The 20,942-nt window shown below is 34.3% G+C and overlaps 1 long non-coding RNA gene across 3 annotated transcripts in view; it reads right to left on the bottom strand.

Annotated features, from left to right (window-relative positions):
• LOC102724934 (uncharacterized) overlaps nt 1–20,942 on the bottom strand; it is a 181,069-nt gene that overhangs the window by 120,063 nt on the left and 40,064 nt on the right. For all 3 annotated transcript variants that reach the window (XR_001750707.2, XR_001750708.2, XR_943701.3), the window contains exon 4: nt 15,397–15,477. This is a non-coding gene — a long non-coding RNA (uncharacterized LOC102724934). The remainder of the gene's footprint in view (nt 1–15,396; nt 15,478–20,942) is intronic.

Here is a 20,942-nt window from a genome sequence, read left to right on the forward strand (position 1 = left end):
TTAGTCAGTTTTATCGTAGTGTTTTATCCTCTACACACCATGCTTTCTCTTGTATCCAGGCGAGACCACTCCCACCACCCCATTTACTGTATGCTGCTGCCGTAAATAATAATACTTTACGAACTAGTAAAATGGAAAAATAAATTTCACAAAGTGAAGGCACAAATAAATAATATTGGGAATAAAAAAGATAGATACAACTATATATATCTCATAGCAGTTAAAAAGATAGCAATACTCTGAACTGCATGACAATAAATTTGAAAATTTAAATGAAATGAAAAATACCCCAGTAAAATACAGCTTCTGAAAACTAAGAAAGAAAAAGAATGCTTTAATAGGAAGTTAAATTAAATGCTAATTTTTTCACACTAATCATTCAGGGTTAATGACAATTTATGCCAAATCTTCAAAGTACTAGTCACTCCAGTCTTCAGCTAACTTTTTCAGAAGTTTCAAAAGGAGGAGAAACCTCCCAGGTCACTCCCTGGGATCGGTATAACTTTGAAACCAAAATCATCAGTATAAGAAAAAGAAAAGGATTGTATTATTTGTGAATATAAATGCAAAATACTAACAAACTGAATATAGAGGTGTATAAGAAAATGTATCATGAACAAGTAGAATTTATCCCAATATAAGAATTATTTGGCCATAAGGAAAATATCCCTACTATCATATGCAAAAATGTTTTAATAAAATTCAACATGCATTTACGATTTTTAAAAATACACTTAGCAAACTAAAAATAAGAGATAACTTCCTTAAAAGGTACTACTATGGTTTGAATATTTATCCCCTCCAAAACTCATGTTGAAATTTAATCCCCAATGTGACAGTATTGAGAGGTGGGGCCTTTAACGGATGACTGGCTCTTCTTTTTAATTCTTAATTTTTGTGGGTACATAGCCAGTGTACATATTAGATCATGAGGGCAAAGCCCTCACGAATGGATTAATCCATTTATTGATTATTAATGGGTTAATCAATTAATAGGTTGTCATGGGAGTGCCACTCGTGACTTTATAAGAAGAGCAGATACCTGAGCTAGCACACACAGCCCCTTCACCATGTGATGCCCTGTACTACCTCAGGACTTTACAGAGTCCCATCAGCAAGAAGCCCTTCACCAGAGGTGGACCCTTGATGTTGGACTTCTTGGTCCCTGTAACTGTAAAACATACATTACTTTATAAAATAAATTACTCAGTTTCTGGTATTCTGTTGTAAGCAAGAGAGAACAGAATAAAACAGCTCCCTATAAAAAGCCTATAGAAAATGTCATTTTTTAATATGGAAACTTTGAAAACATACCTTTAAAAATTAGATACAAGTCAAAAGTGCATGCTATAAGCACACTAATAGATCTTAATAGTAAAGTAATCATTTAAGAAATGAAGCTAAGTACCTGAGAATGGGGGAGGTAGAAACAAAACTGTCATTATTGGCAGATGGTATGATTGTCTACATTGAAACCCCCTAAAAAATAACTATGAACAGATTATTAAAAAATAAGTTTAGCAAAGTGAAAAGACACAAGGTAAATATTCCAAAATCAATTCAAATGTTTTGCATCAGTAACAAAATAATGATAATTAGCTATCATTTACAATAACAAAAATTATATATTAATGAGGACAAAATGACAAAACATATTTAAATCCTTTGTGGAGAAAATTATAAAATTTATTGAAAGATCTTAATGAAGACCTAATAAATGGAGAGATATGTTTATGGATAGAAAAACTTAATATCATAAAGATACAGATTTTCCATATATATATATTCAATGTGACTCATATAAAAATCCCAACAATATTATTTAAAGAAGCTTCACAAGATGATTTAAAATTTGTTGGAAGAGCAAAGCATCAAGTATAGCCAAAATATTCCTAAACAGGATTAATGTGGAAAATTAACACACCAAGATTTCAAGAATTATCATAAATTTCAAGCATTTAGGATAGTTTGATGTTTAAATAATGATAAAAAAAAGAGATCAATGGGGCTAAATAGCCAATGTATAGATACATGCTTACACATGGAACTTTAATAGATGATAAATGTGTTATTATAGACCATTGTGAATACAGGATAATGCCCTAAAAGGTGCTCAATTAGTTATTTATGTGGGAGAAAAAAATTGAATCCAACCTCACACTACACACACACAAAAACAATTCCAAGTGGAACAAGAATTTCAATATGAAAAGTGTAACTTTAACATTTTTAGATTTAAAATATAGGGAAACAGCTTTATAACTTCAGAATAGGGATAAAAATGAAAACTAGAAAATCCCTAACCATGAAGAATAATACTGATATTTATGACTACATTGAAAGTTTCAACTTCACATCCCTCGTAAGTTGGATTCCTAGGTATTTTGTACTCTTTGAAGCAATTGTGAATGAGAGTTCAAGGAGAATTACAAACCACTGCTCAAGTAAAAGAGGATACAAACAAATGGAAGAACATTCCATGCTCATGGGTAGGAAGAATCAATATCGTGAAAATGGCCATACTGCCCAAGGTAATTTACAGATTCAATGCCATCGCCATCAAGCTACCAATGATTTTCGTCACAGAATTGGAAAAAACTACTTTAAAGTTCATATGGAACCAAAAAAGAGCCCGCATAGCCAAGTCAATCCTAAGTCAAAAGAACAAAGCTGGAGGCATCATGCTACCTGACTTCAAACTATACTACAAGGCTACAGTAACGAAAACAGCATGGTACTGGTACCAAAACAGAGATATAGACCAATGGAACAGAACAGAGGCCTCAGAAATAATGCCACATATCTACAACTATCTGATCTTTGACAAACCTTACAAAAACAAGAAATGCGGAAAGGATTCCCTATGTAATAAATTTTGCTGGGAAAACTGGCTAGCCATATGCAGAAAGCTGAAACTGGATCCCTTCCTTACACCTTATACAAAAATTAATTCAAGATGGATTAAAGACTTAAATCTTAGACCTAAAACCATAAAAACCCTAGAAGAAAACCTAGGCAATACCATTCAGGACATAGGCATGGGCAAGGACTTCATGTCCAAAACACCAAAAGCAATGGCAACAAAAACCAAAATTGACAAATGGGGTCTAATTAAACTAAAGAGCTTCTGCACAGCAAAAGAGACTACCATCAGAGTGAACAGGCAACCTACAGAATGGGAGAAAATTTTTGCGATCTACTCATCTGACAAAGGGCTAATATCCAGAATCTACAATGAACTCAAACAAATTTACAAGAAATAAACAAACAACCCCATCAAAAAGTGGGCAAAGGATATTAACAGACACTTCTCAAAAGAAGACACTTATGCAGCCAAAAAGCACATGAAAAAATGCTCATCATCACTGGCCATCAGAGAAATGCAAATCAAAACCACAATGAGATACCATCTCACACCAGTTAGAATGGCGATCATTAAAAAGTCAGGAAACAACAGGTGCTGGAGAGGATGTGGAGAAATAGGAACACTTTTACACTGTTGGTGGGACTGTAAACTAGTTCAACCATTGTGGAAGTCAGTGTGGCGATTCCTCAGGGATCTAGAACTAGAAATACCATTTGGCCCAGTCATCCCATTACTGGGTATATACCCAAAGGATTATAAATCATGCTGCTATAAAGACACATGCACACACATGTTTATTGCAGCACTATTCACAATAGCAAAGACTTGGAACCAACCCAAATGTCCAACAATGATAGACTGGATTAAGAAAATGTGGCACATATACACCATGGAATACTATGCAGCCGTAAAAAATGATGAGTTCCTGTCCTTTGTAGGGACATGGATGAAGCTGGAAACCATCATTCTCAGCAAACTATCGCAAGGACAAAAAACCAAATATCACATATTCTCACTCATAGGTGGGAATTGAACAAGGAGAACACATGGACACAGGAAGGGGAACATCACACACCGGGGACAGTTGTTGGGGGAGGGGGAGTGATCACATTAGGAGATATACCTAATGCTAAATGACGAGTTAATGGGTGCAGCATGCCAACATGGCACATGTATACATATGTAACAAGACTGCACGTTGTGCACATGTACCCTAAAACTTAAAGTATAATAAAAAAAAAGAAAGTTTAAACTTACGTTCATCAAAAGCCATTCTTAAAGGAGTTGTAAGATTAGCCACGAAATGAGAGACTATAATTTCAACACATGTAATTGACAAAAAGTAGTATCTAAAATGCATACCAGATTTTCGATTCCTCTAAAACAAAAACAAAAGTAGGAAAGATATATGAACAGGAATTTCAGAGGATTTGAAATATGTATGGCAATAACCCATGGAAAACGAAATGCTATGTCATTATTAATCAGTGCCATGTCAATTAAGTCAAAAATGAGATACTCTTCATACCTACTTTCTTAAAAAAAACAGCAATTCTGGTAGTCCCAAAAATTGAAGATGTTGTTAATAAGTGGTGATGCTTACATGCTGTTAGGATGGCAAACTACTTTGGATACAATTTTGTATTATTTTGTAAAATTGAACATGTGCACACGATATTGCACAGCAATTCTACTGCTGAAGAGAATCTCTAGAAACACTTTGGGACACGTATACCAAGAAACAACCATAAGAATATCTACAGTCTCACTTGGGAAACAGTAAAACACTGGAAACTACCCAAATGTTTAATGATAGGAGAGTTAATAAATAAATGGCTAAATTAAATTGTTTATGGCAGGGAAAATAAATTGAACAACCACATGGATGAAACTTTAAAACAGTTTGAATAAACACATTCAATTCCAGGTAACTATTATATATTGTATCATTTTGATAAAGCTTTAAAAAGTAAACTCTAATAACGTTTTTGGATATTATACATATAATAAAACTGATTTTTATAAAGCAAAGGAACAGTGCTTGCGTATGAGAAAGTAGGCAGTGAGATAGGATGGACTGGGAGTGAGGCCATATTCATGATGTTCTAGATGTTACATTGATGTTCTAGTGTAACACTCAATGTAACATCTAGAAGATCATCTTGTTTTATTTTGTTTTATCATCTTCATGTTATCATCATGCTTTATAATCTTCATATATGTAATTCAGTATTACATTGTTCAAATGGTGAAATACAATTAAGATTGTAATATATATATAAGAATAAGAAGAAGAAAGAAACGAGGATGGAGGGATAATAACATAAATACTCATCATAACTCTGAACACTTATTGTTTCATTGGGAAGGAGGAGAGGCAATGAGTACAACTCAGTAATTCCTTCTTGGTCGTAAATTAAACATATGGGAAGGTAGGTTTCAGAGCATTATGATGTCTATTCTTGTTTAGTATATCACATGGGTTTGCCCTGACTGAAAAATTTTAATAGAAATAGTAGGGGAAAGTTGTTTGTAGAGAAAATAATGTTTAAAAAAATAATATTAGGAATACAATTTTGGAATAAGAGAAAAGTAAAATATAAATTTTACTAAGGCTCTAGATATAGCCATAATTTACAAGAAATACAGAAGACAGCACTTGTTGACACAATGAGGAAAATAAATGAGGCTCTCCAACAAATAAAATGCATTGTGAAAAAAGGAGCGGAGTAACTCATAGTTTAAAACAACATTGAATCACAATTTATGGACAAACGCTAATATATGGACCTTATTTGGATCTTCATTCAAAGTGTTGCAAAAACTTATCAGAAAAGAGGAGGAATTTGAATGCTGGATTTTATCAATGATTATTTGATGTATTGTTTGATATATTAGATTGTTACTTTTGATGTATTATATCATTACTATTTAATTATTTAACCTGTGATAATGGTACTGTGATTTTTTTTCTTTTTTGAGACGGAGTCTCGTTCTGTTTCCCAGGCTGGAGTGCAGTGGCGTGATCTCTGGCTCACTGCAACCACCACCTCCTGGGTTCAAGCAATTCTCCTGTCTTAACCTCCCAAGTAGCTGGGATTATGGGCACACACCACAACGCTTGGCTAATTTTTGTATTTTTAGTAGAGACAGGGTTTCACTGTGTTGGCCAGGCTGGTCGTAAACTCATGACCTCAAGTGATCTGCTCGCCTTGGCCTTCCAAGTGTTGGGATTACAGGTGTGAGCCACCGTGCCCAGCCGGTTCTGTGATTTTTATGAGACCATAGTTTTTGGACATAAATGCCAATATATTTATGGATGAAATTATAAAATGTTGAGTATTTGCTTAAAAACAATTTTGAGGCCGGGCGTGGTGGCTCACGCTTGTAATCCCAGCACTTTGGGAAGCTGTGGCAGGCTGATCACCAGGTCAGGAGTTCGAGACCAGCCTGACTAACACAGTGAAACCCCGTCTCTACTAAAAATACAATAATTAGCTGGGCGTGGTGGTGCATGCCTGTAATCCCAGCTACTCAGGAGGCTGAGGCAGGAGAATCGCTTGAACCTGGAAAGTGGAGTTTGCAGCGAGCTGAAATCAATGCACTCCAGCCTGGGTGCCTGGGTGACAAAGCTAGACTCCGTCTCAAAAAATAAAAATAAACATAAAAAACTGAGAAGTAGATAGGAACATAAATGCCACAAATTGGCCCTGAATTTATATTCATGGAAGTTGGGGATGAGTGCATGGAGATTCTTTATACTGTTCTCTCAACATGTGGATATGTTGGAATTTTTCATCGTAACATGCTAAAATGAAAAGTAAAATATATATTTGCGTGTATACTACCTATCCCATTCGTTTCTCATAATAACATTGAAGAAAGCAGAGTGCTGTTTACTCTCTGTTTGTTTGTTTGTTTTCACAAGAAGAACCTGTAGAATCTAAGAGACTCATAAGTCAGATTTAAACTAAGGCAGAGATGGGATCACAATTCAGAGGCTACAGATTTTATCCAATATCTGTATACTACCTCTGAATCCATAGAATTTTATGTTGCTGCTAGGTGAAGTTCCACATCATCATTATTTATAAATGAGATAAGCACTCACAAAATGCAATGCATTCTTAGACGTATAAATGGGAGTGTGTCATAACCTTGTAAACAAGTCCTAAAAATGAGCCCGCCTCTTGAGGTGTTTTCTTTTATCATCACACTCTCCACAAGCAAAACACGTGCCAAAAATTAAATGAACTTCAGTGTTGTTTGGTTAATAATTTATCTGAAAAAAATAAATAAAGTTATTATTTCTAAAAGGAGTGTGCTATTTAAATTAATGTAGCAATTTTGGCACCATCTTCTGGTGCCAAGTTAAACCTTGGATTCTGTGTGATTTCATCCACAGTCTCAAAAAGGCTCATGTCCTAGGGCAGAAGAAAGGAAAAGGAGACTAGGGTAAGACACAACATTTGATGGGGATGGTGGAGTGGGGAGATGGAAATTAAGTACTCTGTTTTAAATGGCTCAATGTGGCTTCTTTTGCAAAATATAAAGATAGCTTGGTATGAAAACTTATTTCTCTTTATCTCTATTTGGCAGAAATAAATACGCCTATGTTTACAAAAGTATGTCTATGCGGGACTGAAATTTTTATGTTACCAAAAGTACTAAAAGCCACATAGCTACAGAAATGTTACAGAAATGTAACAGAAAGCCAGATGCAAAACAACAATAACTTAAAAACAAAAACAAAATAAAACTGTTAACAGAACATTTGAGACTTTTGTTATTTTCTCTTATACATTAGTTACTTCCTGAAAGCTTGGTTTCATGTTAGTTTATCTTGGTCTTTCAATATAGTTTGGAAATATATCCTATTTTGTGGTTAAAACTAATAACTCTACTTTTCATCAACCCAAGCCTGGTTCTGTAAAGCATTTTTAAATTTCAAAGTTAATTGAGCTTCAGAACAAAGTCGTGCATAGAATTCTAATTTGCAGTGGAGAATCTGCATCATGCCTGATGATGTCTCCCTGGAGACAAAGCATCAGGTAGTTTTGTCAATCAAATCAAAGTCATCATGTTCCCTTCTAATTTATTACAGTTATTTATATGTTTACTTATGTCTTCAAGGGAGATTTGATTATGAATTATTTACTGTTGTTATTCACTTGTAATGCACCAATCACCACATCGAGACCAATTTAGGAATGATGTCTGCAAATTTCCAGATAAAGAGTACTAGGCAATTTATGTGATAAACTAATGATACTGTGAAAAAAAAAAAAGGAAATTGTTCTACATGAAATTCTGGTTATTATTTTTCTGAAATTATTAAGTTACTCTTTTAACAAGACATTCTTATGGAAAACAAAAAAGGGGGACACATAAAAGAGAGGTAATGTGAATTGGAGGGTCATAAGATCATGACAAGTACAGAAAATAAATGTGGTTAAGGAAGTGGATGAATTGGAAGTATGAGAGGGAAATATTGGAATTAAGAATTTTAAGGCTTTTACTATTCCAGGTGACACCAAATCCAATGTATTGAAGAGGCTGACTGGAGTCTATAGTGCTGAGAGTTAGTAAGTTGTTCGCTAGAGTTCAAAAGTGTTATATGCATGGACAAGAAGTTCAGATCATTGTGGAGGATAAAAAGGGTGAATCAGTTGCCAGAATCCTTTCTCATGAACCTGTGCATTTACAAAGGCTGTTTCTTCTGCCTAGAATATCTTTACAACCACCTATTTTCCTGTCACACTCCTATGCCTTTTTCAAGCACCAGCTCAGATCTCAACCAGTCTATGAATCATTGCCTATGAATCATGTCACATTAATTCTTCCAAGCTCTCTGATCTTATAGCATTTTGTTCTCACCTTGGTTATAGCATTTAACAGATTAAGTTGTATCTATATTTTTACAAATGCATTTCTCCATTACACTATGAACTTCTCAATGGTAGCCAGCAGGTCACATTCTCTGCTGTCACCTTCATAGCATCCATAGTGCCTGCCATATAGCCAGTTCACTATATTATGTTTGTTGAGTTAAATAATGGATACATACATAACAGCCACCAAGGGAACATACAGGCAGGCACAATTAATTCTCACGTAAGAGGGTTGGGAGAGTGCCACATAAAAAGAATCAGTCAAACCAGACCTTTAAAAGATATAGATTTTCACTAATCACAGAGTTAGAAAGGCAATCCAAGCTGAGCAAACCACAGAAGTAAAATCAAGGCTTGCGAAAAGGTCAAATACATTCAAAACTGGAATGAATTCATCATTTATTAGTGCATTCAGTCGACAGATATTCGTTGATTATCGCTCTATCCCAAGCATTGTACTAAGTAAAGAGAATAAAAATAAAATCATAATACATTATTGTTGCCCTCAAGAAAACATAGTCTTAACAAGGGAAAACAAATATGAAAAGAAAAAATTATGATACAGCATGGGAGTGTTGTGGAAACATGAATTAAGTAATGGGGTAGCACAAAGAACAAGCAAGAAAATTAGCCAAGCTTGGGGACTTGTATGAGGTCACTAAAAATATGACATTTCATTGAGTATTTAAAAGTGAGGAAAGGAGAAATAGACCTTAAAAAATAAAGAACAGGGACGGGCGCTGTGGCTCACGCCTGTAATCCCAGCACTTTGGGAGGCCGAGGCGGGTGGATCACGAAGTCAGGAAATTGAGATCATCCTGGCTAACACGGTGTTTCACCGTCTCTACTAAAAATACAAAACATTAGCCGGGCGTGGTGGCGGGTGCCTGTAGTCCCATCTACTCGGGAGGCTGAGGCAGGAGAATGGCGTGAACCGGCGAGGCGGAGCTTGCAGTGAGCTGAGATGGCGCCACTGCACTCCAGCCTGGGCGACAGAGCGAGACTCCGTCTCAAAAAACAAAACAAAACAAAACAAAACAAACGAATAGTATGTGCAAATTTTTTGTAATATTTTATTTATAGGTATTACAAATACACATTATGGGGTCCATGTGATATTTGATACAAGAATACAATGTGTGCTGATCAAATCACAGTATTTGGAATACCTCTGGTGCCTTTTCATTCTAGTGCATTTCCCACAGAACTGCCAGTGTTATCTCCCCATAAAATAAAATTTGATTATATCCCTTGTTAGTTTAAAGGCTTTTATTGGCCTGCTATTGTTTAGAAAATAACATTTGTAGTTCCTTACTTTGGAACAATTTTTTTAAAGAATCACATTATAGAGGTCATTTTTTTCAGAATTAAGAACTGTAAATGTTATTTTGTAGACAATAGCAGGCCAATAAAATGTTTTAAACTAACAATCAATTTAATCAAATTTTATTATGGGGAGATAACACTGTCAATTCTGTGGAAAATGCACTAGAATGGAAAGGTACTGGAGGTAGAAAGAAGTTGAGGTTTGCAACAGTTCAAATGGTAAAGAGAAAGTAGAAATAGATACAAGAAACATATCCTGAGATATGACCTGACAAATAAAGGATTGATCCAGAAAAATAATGTTGAAAGTTTTTTATTTATGTAGTAAGTAATCAAAGATACTGAAAAGAGAAAAAAAATGACAAGTTAACAGACATTTTAGGTAGATGTTTCTTGTGGCAATGCAAATACTAGATTAGAAACACAAGAGACCAGAGGCCTAGGGATCTGTTAGAAACGTATTACAAAAGCCTAGGGAAGAGATGTTAAGGACTCACTAGAATTGTGGAAGAGAAAATAGAAATAAATCAAAGGAAGAGTGATAGAGCTGATATATGAAAAGTACGAGAGATAAAAAGTATATGAAAAGTATGAGAGATGGCTCATTCATTTACTTATTTATTCATTCGACAGATAGCTTTTCAAGTATCATGTACCAAGCAAATTGCTTGGTACTGATAATTCAGGGGTGAACAAAATAAACATCCCTGCCCAGAGCATATGGCTTAGTGTAAAGAGAGATAATTTAAGCAAGTAATTATAAGAAGAGATGCTGAATGCTGTATTATGAAAGTAAAGGATTCTATGGAAATACATATCCATAGCACTCAGTGTGGTCTAGAGGGCTAGGAGATGATGATGTTTAGGTCGAAATCAAAAGAATGAGTAGGATTAGCCAAGCCAAATCATCCAGGGGAAGGTAATTTTGGAAAAGAGGAACAGCATATGGGTGGGGGATTACTGTAGTGAATGACTGAGTTTAAGGCTGCGCAAAGGTAAGAAAATGGAGAACGCAAATAAAAGCAACCCATTCAAGAAGTCTGGCTGTTGAAAGAGATGGATTTTATATGAAATAAAAACAGGATTGTAATTCCCACTTTTTAAATTGTGTTACAATTTACATACAAGAAAATACATAGGTTTTAAGTGTACAGTTCAAATAGTTTTTAAAACAAGACAATCAAGTAACCGCCAGCTCATCCAAGGTATAAAACATTTTCATGATCCTAAAAAGCTCCCTTATGCTTCTTTCAGGTCAGTCCCCAAAGGAAATTGATCCCCTAATTTCCATCATTATAACTTCGGCTTGCTAACTCTAGAATTTTATATGAACGGAAGCATACAGCACATTTTCTTTTCTGTCTGGCTTCTTTCATTTAATATAATATTCTTGGTGGTGTGTAGCGGTAGTCTGCTGCTTCGTATTGTTGAGTAGGGTTCCACTGTATGAATATGCCATATATTGTTAGTCATCCACTGGTGACTATTGGTCTATCATTTGTAAACAAGTCTTTGTTTGACCCTATCTTTTTATTTTTCTAGGACTGACTAATGGATTATAGCCTAAGTATATATTTGAGAAATAATCTATATAACAAATTCCTGTGACATGAATTTACTTATATAACAAATCTTCACGAATTTACTTATATAACAAACCTTCACATGTACCCATGAACCTAAAAGTTTAAAAAAAAGAAAGGAAATGTCACGGTTTCTCAATGTGACTGTATCATTTATCTTTTCCACCAGCAGTTCACATGAGTTCCAGTGGCTCCACATCCTTTCTAGCAGTTGATATTTTCCACCTTTTTTAACTTTAGTAATTCTAGAGTGAGTTTTAATTTGAGTTTTCAGTTTGCAATTTCCTGATGACTAATAAAATTACGCATTATTTCATAGACTTGTTAGTTGATTGTGAAGTGTTTATTAAGAGTTTTTGAGTTTTAAAAGAGAGGTGATAATATTTATTTAATTTTCAGAGACAGAGTTTTGCTTTGTTGCCGAGGCTGGTCTCGAACTTTTGGGCTCAAGTGATCCTCCCACCTCCTACTCCTGAGTAGCTGGAATTACAGGCGTGGACTGCCATGTATAGCCAAGGAGAAAATATTTTGATGCACAAAGCCAAGAATCGGGTGGGAGGGAGAAGTTGAAAATACAAAAGAAAAATAAAATTAAGAAAACAAGTTCCTGTTGAGAAGCAGATAGTGTATTCAAAGTTTACAACTTCTCTTACAAATATTGGATCACTGATATATTTACTTTTCCAGTCTTGTTGAATGGGACTTAGAAACATTCTGACTTTACTACGGGTAGAATTGATTTGAGAATGTCAAGAAAATCTTGGATGATAACTTATAATTAACCAAAATCACTTGTTCAGCTACAGATTGACCTCTTCTGATTTTGAAATTACATGAGATCTTGTATCTGATCCCAAAAGATACTGTTCTGTATTTAGCAGGAGCCATTGTGATGACGTGAATTCTGAGTAATACGTATGTGAAAACAGTACAAATGAGATTAGCCATATTATGTAAATAAAATCAAATAAAGTAACTCTTCAAAGAAGTTTGTTTTTAAAAAGTTTAAGATAGATATATATAGAAAGTTTAAAATATATATATATACTTGATGTTTAGTAAGACTATATTTAAGAAGACATTTATCAAAAGCTGGCAAAAGAATTAGCTGTACTGTGAAGATAAGAGAATAAAAATGTTGATTGTTGAGTTTAACAATAATCTAACACCCGCATTTTGCCATTTCAAAATTAGCTGGTTTATAATGAATGTTTAAAATGAGGCATCTTCTTTATGTAGAGACTTATCAAATAAGACTTTGAATTTTTAATTTCTATGGATGGATGGGGTTTTAATAACAATATACTTTTTACGTAAAATCATCAATAAGTGGTAGTAGGTAAAACAGTAGAGAAGGATTTTTTTCGGTTAGAGTTTACCTTCCTTGACATGTTGATTTGCCTCAACCACTTGCCCACAACCACATCATAGAATCAATGCTCAAGTGTTAGTTGTGGTGTCATTTTCAACTCTATGCAGTGGACCACAGAAAAGTAAAGTTTCTTAAGTACAAAGTTCAGCTGCTTTCTCATTCCCTCCTTCTGTTGCAAAGATTATTCCCAAAATCAAATGAATAAAGAAGAGAATTATAGTCTGTATTTTAGGATTGTTAAAGGTTTTTCTGTTTCTGACAGTTTGGCTTTCTTTTGTCATTTTCTCACTTAAATGTTGTAAACTCAGAAAGTGCTAAGCTAAGATTCTTTATGTAGTGTTACACATGCCGTAAGACAATATTATTTTACCATGTCAAAGTTGTTTGCACCATTTGGAGCACATCTATCATCAAAACTCAATTAAATGGAGTCTTTCTATCTTCAACTAAAACAAACTGTTTACTTAGATTTGCTCAGTGTTTACTTCGCAAGAGGTAGAAGACCCAAATAGCACAGTAACATAGGTGTCTGGGGATATACCAGGGGTCAAAAAATTTAACCCAAAGAAGGAAGCCTTCTTTTCTGGTTGCAACAAGAGACTTTCTTTTTCTTTTGCCAAGTAAATGGCAGCATTATAATGTTATTCATACCTCACTGGTGTCCTAACAATTCCTCTATTCAAACTGAAAAGGGATATATTCTCTTTGTTGCAAAGTATTAAATTTGTCCCTTGAGATTAGTGTGTAGGCAGTTTTAAAGGATGAAACAGGATTAGATAAGGTTTCTTTACTGAGAAAGAGTTCTGAAACAGTACAGCAGAAAACCCTCTTATATTACCTGTATTGAAAAAAATCCTTTGTTTTAACACTTCAAATCACAAGTCAAATTTATTATATCGTTACTTGACAAAATGTTTCTTTGTGGGGTTTTGTGAAAGGTAGACAAGTTACAAATAGAAAAGGAAATGACACTTGCCTTAACTGTATTTGAAATTTCTTATATTTGAAATCCCTCTATGGCATTTATAATTTAAATATGTTTTAAGAGATGATATTTAAAACTTTATAGTAATTATAGTTATCTGCTTAAAGATTCAGAATGTTTCTGCCTCTCTTGATGCTATTTAGAAAGGATGAAAATTGTATTGTATATGTACTGAACAGAGCCAACATTTGTAAGTTTAAAAGTGTCAAAATTTTGTCAAGGGCAGTTCTGGAAAACACATCAGTGGTTCATTTGTGTTCCACTTACCTGTTTATAGTTAATAATGTTGTTCATCACAGGAAGAAATGAATGAATATCATCAAGTTTTCAAGTGAAATGGCAATATTTGTTTTCTTCAGAAAGAAGAAAAATGACTTGTGATAATATACTGCTTCTCTAGTTATATAATCACAATGTTATAGGCCCTTTCTAATTACTAGTAAAGCTACTATGAGATTTCATGATTAAGTATTTGTGTTGGTCTTTTTTTTTAATTTTACGTGAAAGGGTAGAGACTGAGTAAGGCTTTCTAGACTGCAGTAGTTACTTCTCTTTAGATGTTCACATTATTCTACATTAGTGCTTTTGCTGAATGTTACTAACCACAGGGAAGATTTTTTTGTCAAAAGAGAAAGATTTGCAATGAGACCCCCCCAATTTTTTTTTGTGAACTCAATGTGAAAAATATATATTAATTTAAGATTGAACATAATGTTTTGCCATGTATGCAGATTTTAAAGCCTAAAAGAAAACAGAATTAGGTATATAAGATTTCTGCCAATAAAGCTTTAAAAAAAAGTCCCTTTGTGTCTTGATGGCACCTTGTTATATGAAAACCAGGGAACCTTCTCCATACACTTCTCTTTTTCACATTGCTGCTAGGTTATCAATCTTCTCATGGCATCACTCTGCTTATATCAACCCCTGCTCACAAACTATCTTGGTTTCCCACTGTCTCCAGAAGAAACTCCACACTCTGACTTGATATTCAAAGCCCTCCAAAGTCCTTCTCTAAGCCTCCCACCATCACTTTTCTGAGTTAATTATATACCAGGCTTATTAACACACCCAACCTAGATTCCCTCTAAACTGTATTCTTAGCCAGACTTATAAGTATCACTATGGCTTGGGGCTTTCATAGCATCACTCATACTGTTCTAGCTCCCTGTCTATCTTTTCAGTTTTTGCTTTGTCTATTTTGCCTTTCACCTGCTGTTACCTTAGGAGAGTAAATATTTGCTGGTCTGTTTCTGATAGATACCCCTGCGCTGGTCCACAATACAAAGACATCCTAATGTAATGCCCCTTGCCTGCATGGAAAGTTTTAAGTCATTTTTAGAAGGCTTTGTTATTTGGCAAAGCAATAAACTTACCATGTTTTCAGGTTTCGGCATGCTCAGTGACACTGGAATGTCTTTAATATTTCTCCTGATTTCCACTTATTCCTTCTAGTTCTAAATAAAAATAAAAGTGCCAATGTTTTACAAATATAACTGACATAAAAAAGTTTTAAGTGTGCATTAGTTATACAAAAACAAACATCTGGATGTTTGCAAACACTCAGATCTTGAACTAAATGTTTTTTACTATTTTCTTCCTGATGTTCAAGGTCATAAAAATAGATACCTGAGGTCTGATGGTATTATAAAACTAAAACTAAAACTAATTCTATCCATATCTTACATTTTTATGGATGTCTGAAGCATATCCATGCATCTAATTTAAATTACATTTTCTCCTTATGTCCCATTTTAAATATTCTCTATTTAAGTTGGATTTTACTTCTGTGAAAGGGGCTCTTTGCAAATAATTTGAGAAGTTTTGGGAAAAAACCACACAAGTAATGGGGGAAAATGAAGAAATATTGGATGGTATTAAAATGAGAAATGAAAGATTTGAAAAAATTAATACCGTTGTTGAAAAGTGATAGTTTTTTCCTACTTTCATGCTCACATCACAACATTCACTACAATGAGGAAAACCTAGGCATGGAGCTGGCAAGTGGGATTGTTTACTCATCATTACTTATGGTGATGCTGGTGTCGCTTACTTTGAATTTACTTAAGAACTTCAAAAACCATGGGAGCCATGCAAAGTAAGGTCCTAGCTTATTGGCACTTTCAAAAGTCACTTATATTTGATAGTTTCAACGCAGTTCTACATTTGAAGAGAAAACTATGCTGAAATTATATGACAAAAACTATCTTTTTTATCACCTCAGGGTGTTGGAAATCAAATATACAGTTTCTCCTACTTCAGTCATTGCCTAATGAACCATGACAAAGTAAGCTTAACGATGAGAAAACTTGTACCCATAAGTTTTCTCCAAGTTCATAGGGCCTGTTTTTGTGAATCAAGACTATAAACCAGGTAGGTTCACTTCTTTGTCTGTTCTTTGTCTCTCAGCAAACACTTGAAATCCTCTTTCACTAGACAGATTTGACTAATGGATGATTACATTTTGTATAACACATATTTTATGTAGTTCAACATGGTTTAATTATTTAAAGAGATTCTTGGTCAGATCAAAGATGATTCTCGCAGTCATGCTACATGAAATTTGTGCATAAAATCAGAGTTGACCCATCAAGTTGATTTAGAAGTTTAGCAGCAGATTTTTTATTATTATTATTTTTTTAGATGGACTGTCACTCTGTCACCCAGGCTGGAGTGCAGTGGCACTATTTCGGCTCACTGCAAGCTCCGCCTCCCAGATTCACGCCATTCTCCTGCCTCAGTCTCCTGAGTAGCTGGGACTACAGGTGCCCGCCACCACACCCGGCTAATTTTTTGTATTTTTAGTAGAGACGGGGTTTCACCATATTAGCCAGGATGGGCTCGATCTCCTGACTTCATGATCTGCCCGCCTCAGCCTCCCAAAGTGCTGGGATTACAGCAGCAGATTTTAAAGCAACAAATTGAGATTCTAATATCCAGAGAAGATGGCCAAATATGGCCACCAAAGTACCTTTCCATCATTCAGAGTCTTTTTAAAATGATCACTATTGATTTTTAATCATAACAGCATCATCATTTATTGTGTGTTTCCAATGTGCCCTGCATTGTGCTCCCTATACATACAAACTTATTTCATCGCCTCAGTGATACAATAGGTAGGCATTCTTATCCTCACTTTGTAAGTCAATAAACAAAGGCTCAGAAAACTCAAGTTATGAACACAAATTTACACTGAGAGTGTCAGAATTGAGAGTTGAAGCCAGGTGTTTCTGAGTTAAAACCCAAATTCTCTACTGCTGTAATCTCTGCTTAAAACTACTAATGCTAGTTTTAAAAATGAGCTGATATATATTGAAGATTTTCTATGTATTATCAGACATTAAATGCTACATGTAATATATCATACAGTCTTCATAATAACTATTTGAGGCTAGGTACTATTATCTTCATTTTCCATGGAGGTTAAGAACCTATAAAAGTTATGCAATGTCTTCAAGTTTACTTGGTTAGAAAGAGGCAAGAAGAAGGTTTTAGCCTAAAGAGACTGGCTTCATCCACTTCTCGATGTTGCCTCTCAAGATTTCCTTATTTCTATGAATACATTGCTGTTCTCTAAGTGTATTAGTCAGGAGAAGATCATCAATGTGTCATAACAAATGAATCCAGAATTTCAGTACCTTACAACAGCAGAGTGTAATTTTTCACTCATCCTTTGTCCATTGTAGCTGTGGCTATATTCCAAATGTGCATTACAGGAGGAGACTAATAGGTCAGCCTCTACCTAGACATGGTCTCATAGCAAAGGGGGCAAAAAAGACATAGTCACTCATATACTGACTTTCAAACTTCTGCCTGGAGGTTTCATGGCCATTCCTGAATCCAGCTGTGTGGATTGGCTGGTGGTTGGCTCCACAGTGACATAAATCAGACTATTTGGGAAATGGGTGTGCTGGTGTCTGGCACAGTGCTGCCAGGATGTGAATATCCATGCATAAGGTGACAGGATACAACTGGGATTTTTTGAGTTTGTGCCTCTTCAGAAAAACTCAGCTCTTTGATTACTAGGGTAAGATGCACAAGGCAGTAGTGCAGGATGGAAGAATTAAAATAAACAAATAAATCTGATGGGCTAGTATAATATTCTCTACTAGTATATGAGGCACACAGTTTGTAGTTTAATACTTTCATCTGCTTAGGAAAGGAGACTTATTTATAGGAATTTATTGATTGAGGAGAATAGATATTATTGTATCCTGCTAAGCAGTGTATTCAAAATACCTTAAGTGCTTTCAAAAACATACCTATGAGAATACGTCCCTACTGGCATTTCTTAGAATAGGAAAAAGGAATGAAAATAATCTACATACCCAGTGGTAGAATATGGGTTAAATGAATTACATGTCCATTAATGGAATTCTATATTGCAATGAAAATAATATTTAATGATATGGAAACTGTTCATTATATGGTAGAAAAATCTGTTTATAAAACAATATTATTTTATAATTTTATATAATATGAATATATATTCATATATTATATATATTATATATTTTTATTTTATTTATTTTATTTTAATATATTTATGTATATTATATATATTTTATATATTATATATGAATATATATATTCATATATTTTATACATTGAGATGGAGTCTCGCTCTGTCACCCAGGCTGGAGTGCAGTGGCACAATCTCAGCTCACTGCAACCTCCACCTCCTGGGTTCAAGAGATTATCCTGCCTCAGCCTCCCAAGCAGCTGGGACTACAGGCGTGTGCCACTATGCCCAGCTCATTTTTGTATTTTTACTAGAGACGGGGTTTCACCATGTTGGTTGGCCAGGATGGTTTCGATCTCTTGACCTTGTGATCCACCCGCTTCGGCCTCCCAAGATGCTGGGATTACGGGCATGAGCCACTGCGCCCAGCCCATAATATGAATATATTTTTTATATAAAAGGCATATATTAGAAAAATCACTAAAATATTAAATGTTATGCCTATGATAATTTGTGGAGTTTTGCTTTGTTTTATTTTATTTTATTTTGTGTAAGAATTTGGGAGAAAGGGGACCTAGTCAAGAGTTTCCAAATCTTCTACAATGAATAGTTAATACATTTTAAAATAAATAAATAAATATTAATTAAATAATAAACTAAAGGACATGAGGAATAATGTGTAAAGCCCACGAAACTTTAAAATAACTCTATGTTTAAATAATAAAGAAAACAGAGAATTAAATTCAGATAATTCTTGGTCATTTGTCAGATCAGTCACAAAATAATAATGATCTTTTCTTGAACATTTCCCAGTCAAAATTAGATTCACATTTTATTTCCTCTTTAGACTCATCTTCTGCACAAAGCCTTGCTTGAGCCTCTGACTCTCACCACTCAGAGTTCCACATTAGGTTGGAAACTATTCATTTCTCTCTCCCACTAAATTATCTGAAACTTGGTGTCCTACAGCTAATATTTCTAACTATGGGCTTCTCCACACCCACCTGTTCTCCACATTACAAGCAGAGTTTCTTTCATGTAATAAAAACTGAAATGATATCCTTAGGTTTTTTCTTATCTTGGGTTACATTGATTCCTCTGAATAGCCAGAATATTACCAGTACTTCAGATTTATTTTTAACGCAGCAAAACTTAAATTTGCTGATTATGCGCCTTGGTTCTATAGTATAATTAATGTTTATTTACTGAATGTTAAGCCAGAGAACTTCATAACTCGTACATTGCTGGAAAACTATTCTAGAAAACTTTAATAATGTATATATTTTAAAAGGCTAACTTATTAGAAAACTAAAGTGTGGGACCTTTTTAAGATTGTGGTCTTACTTTATTTAACTGCAGTAATTTGATCTAGGTTTAGGCTAGAAGACATCTTTAGAAACTATTTTTAAAGAATGGATAAAAATTATTTGTAATTACCATATCACTGTTTATTTATGTAGATGCTGCCAAAGTATTTAGGAGTGCTTGGGAACAGTTACTTGTCTTAAAAATATTTATTTTATAGTTTTATTTACATTTACTAGCCTGGCAAAACCTTTCATCATAGATCTATGAGAGACACTGGTTTTCATGTAATTGAAAAAATATAAGCAAAGCTGTTATTTTGCATCACACAGACAAAAGAAAAAATACTCAGTTGCTTTTTAGAATCTAAACATTATAAACAGAAACCAATTTAAGATATGCTGCTTATATGTAGAGAACAAGTCTTTCTGTATTCCTTGGTAAAACAGTTGCAAGGAATGAAGATATATATGTATCTTGATATAGAGATGGAAGGATAGAGATATATCCTATAGATATATCTATATAGGATTTTATAAGTATAGTTATATACAGTTATAGATGTATAGTTGTAAATACATATAAACATATGTATAAGCATTCATGTAAATATATAGATATATAGTTTTTTTTTTCCTTATGGTTAAGCATTAGAGACATTACTTTAGAGAAGAGTAAAATACACATTGCATAGTACTCTGAAGACCACTTATCCTGGGTAAAAAATACAGGTAGACCAAATAGCTCTACTGGCATTTGCGGACAATGCCACAGAGGAATATCAGCCTCTAAAAGCCTTGACTAGGGTCAGAAAAGTTACTCGCTGTTAGAATGCAAAATTTACAAAATATCAAAAACTGGTTGCAGTATTACATGTTGACAACTTTATTTGTATATTGGAGATAAAAGCAGTGGGAGTTCTTCCTATAAGCAACACTATATTCTAAGCTCATTGAGCCCACGATGTCTGTCTCTCACATGGTGATGCTATCTATAAGAGGGTGCTGTCACATTACTTTGTAAAATTTACTGATATATACAAAACAAAGAAAGTGCTTTTAATAATCCTGAATGTCATGCTTCCACATTTCAACAGAGACCTTAAAGATGAAAGTAGGCCTCAATTCTGATTCAATGTACAAAATACTTTTTAAA

This window comes from Homo sapiens, chromosome 14 (genome assembly GCF_000001405.40).
Source record: "Homo sapiens chromosome 14, GRCh38.p14 Primary Assembly".
Classification (NCBI taxonomy): domain Eukaryota; kingdom Metazoa; phylum Chordata; class Mammalia; order Primates; family Hominidae; genus Homo; species Homo sapiens.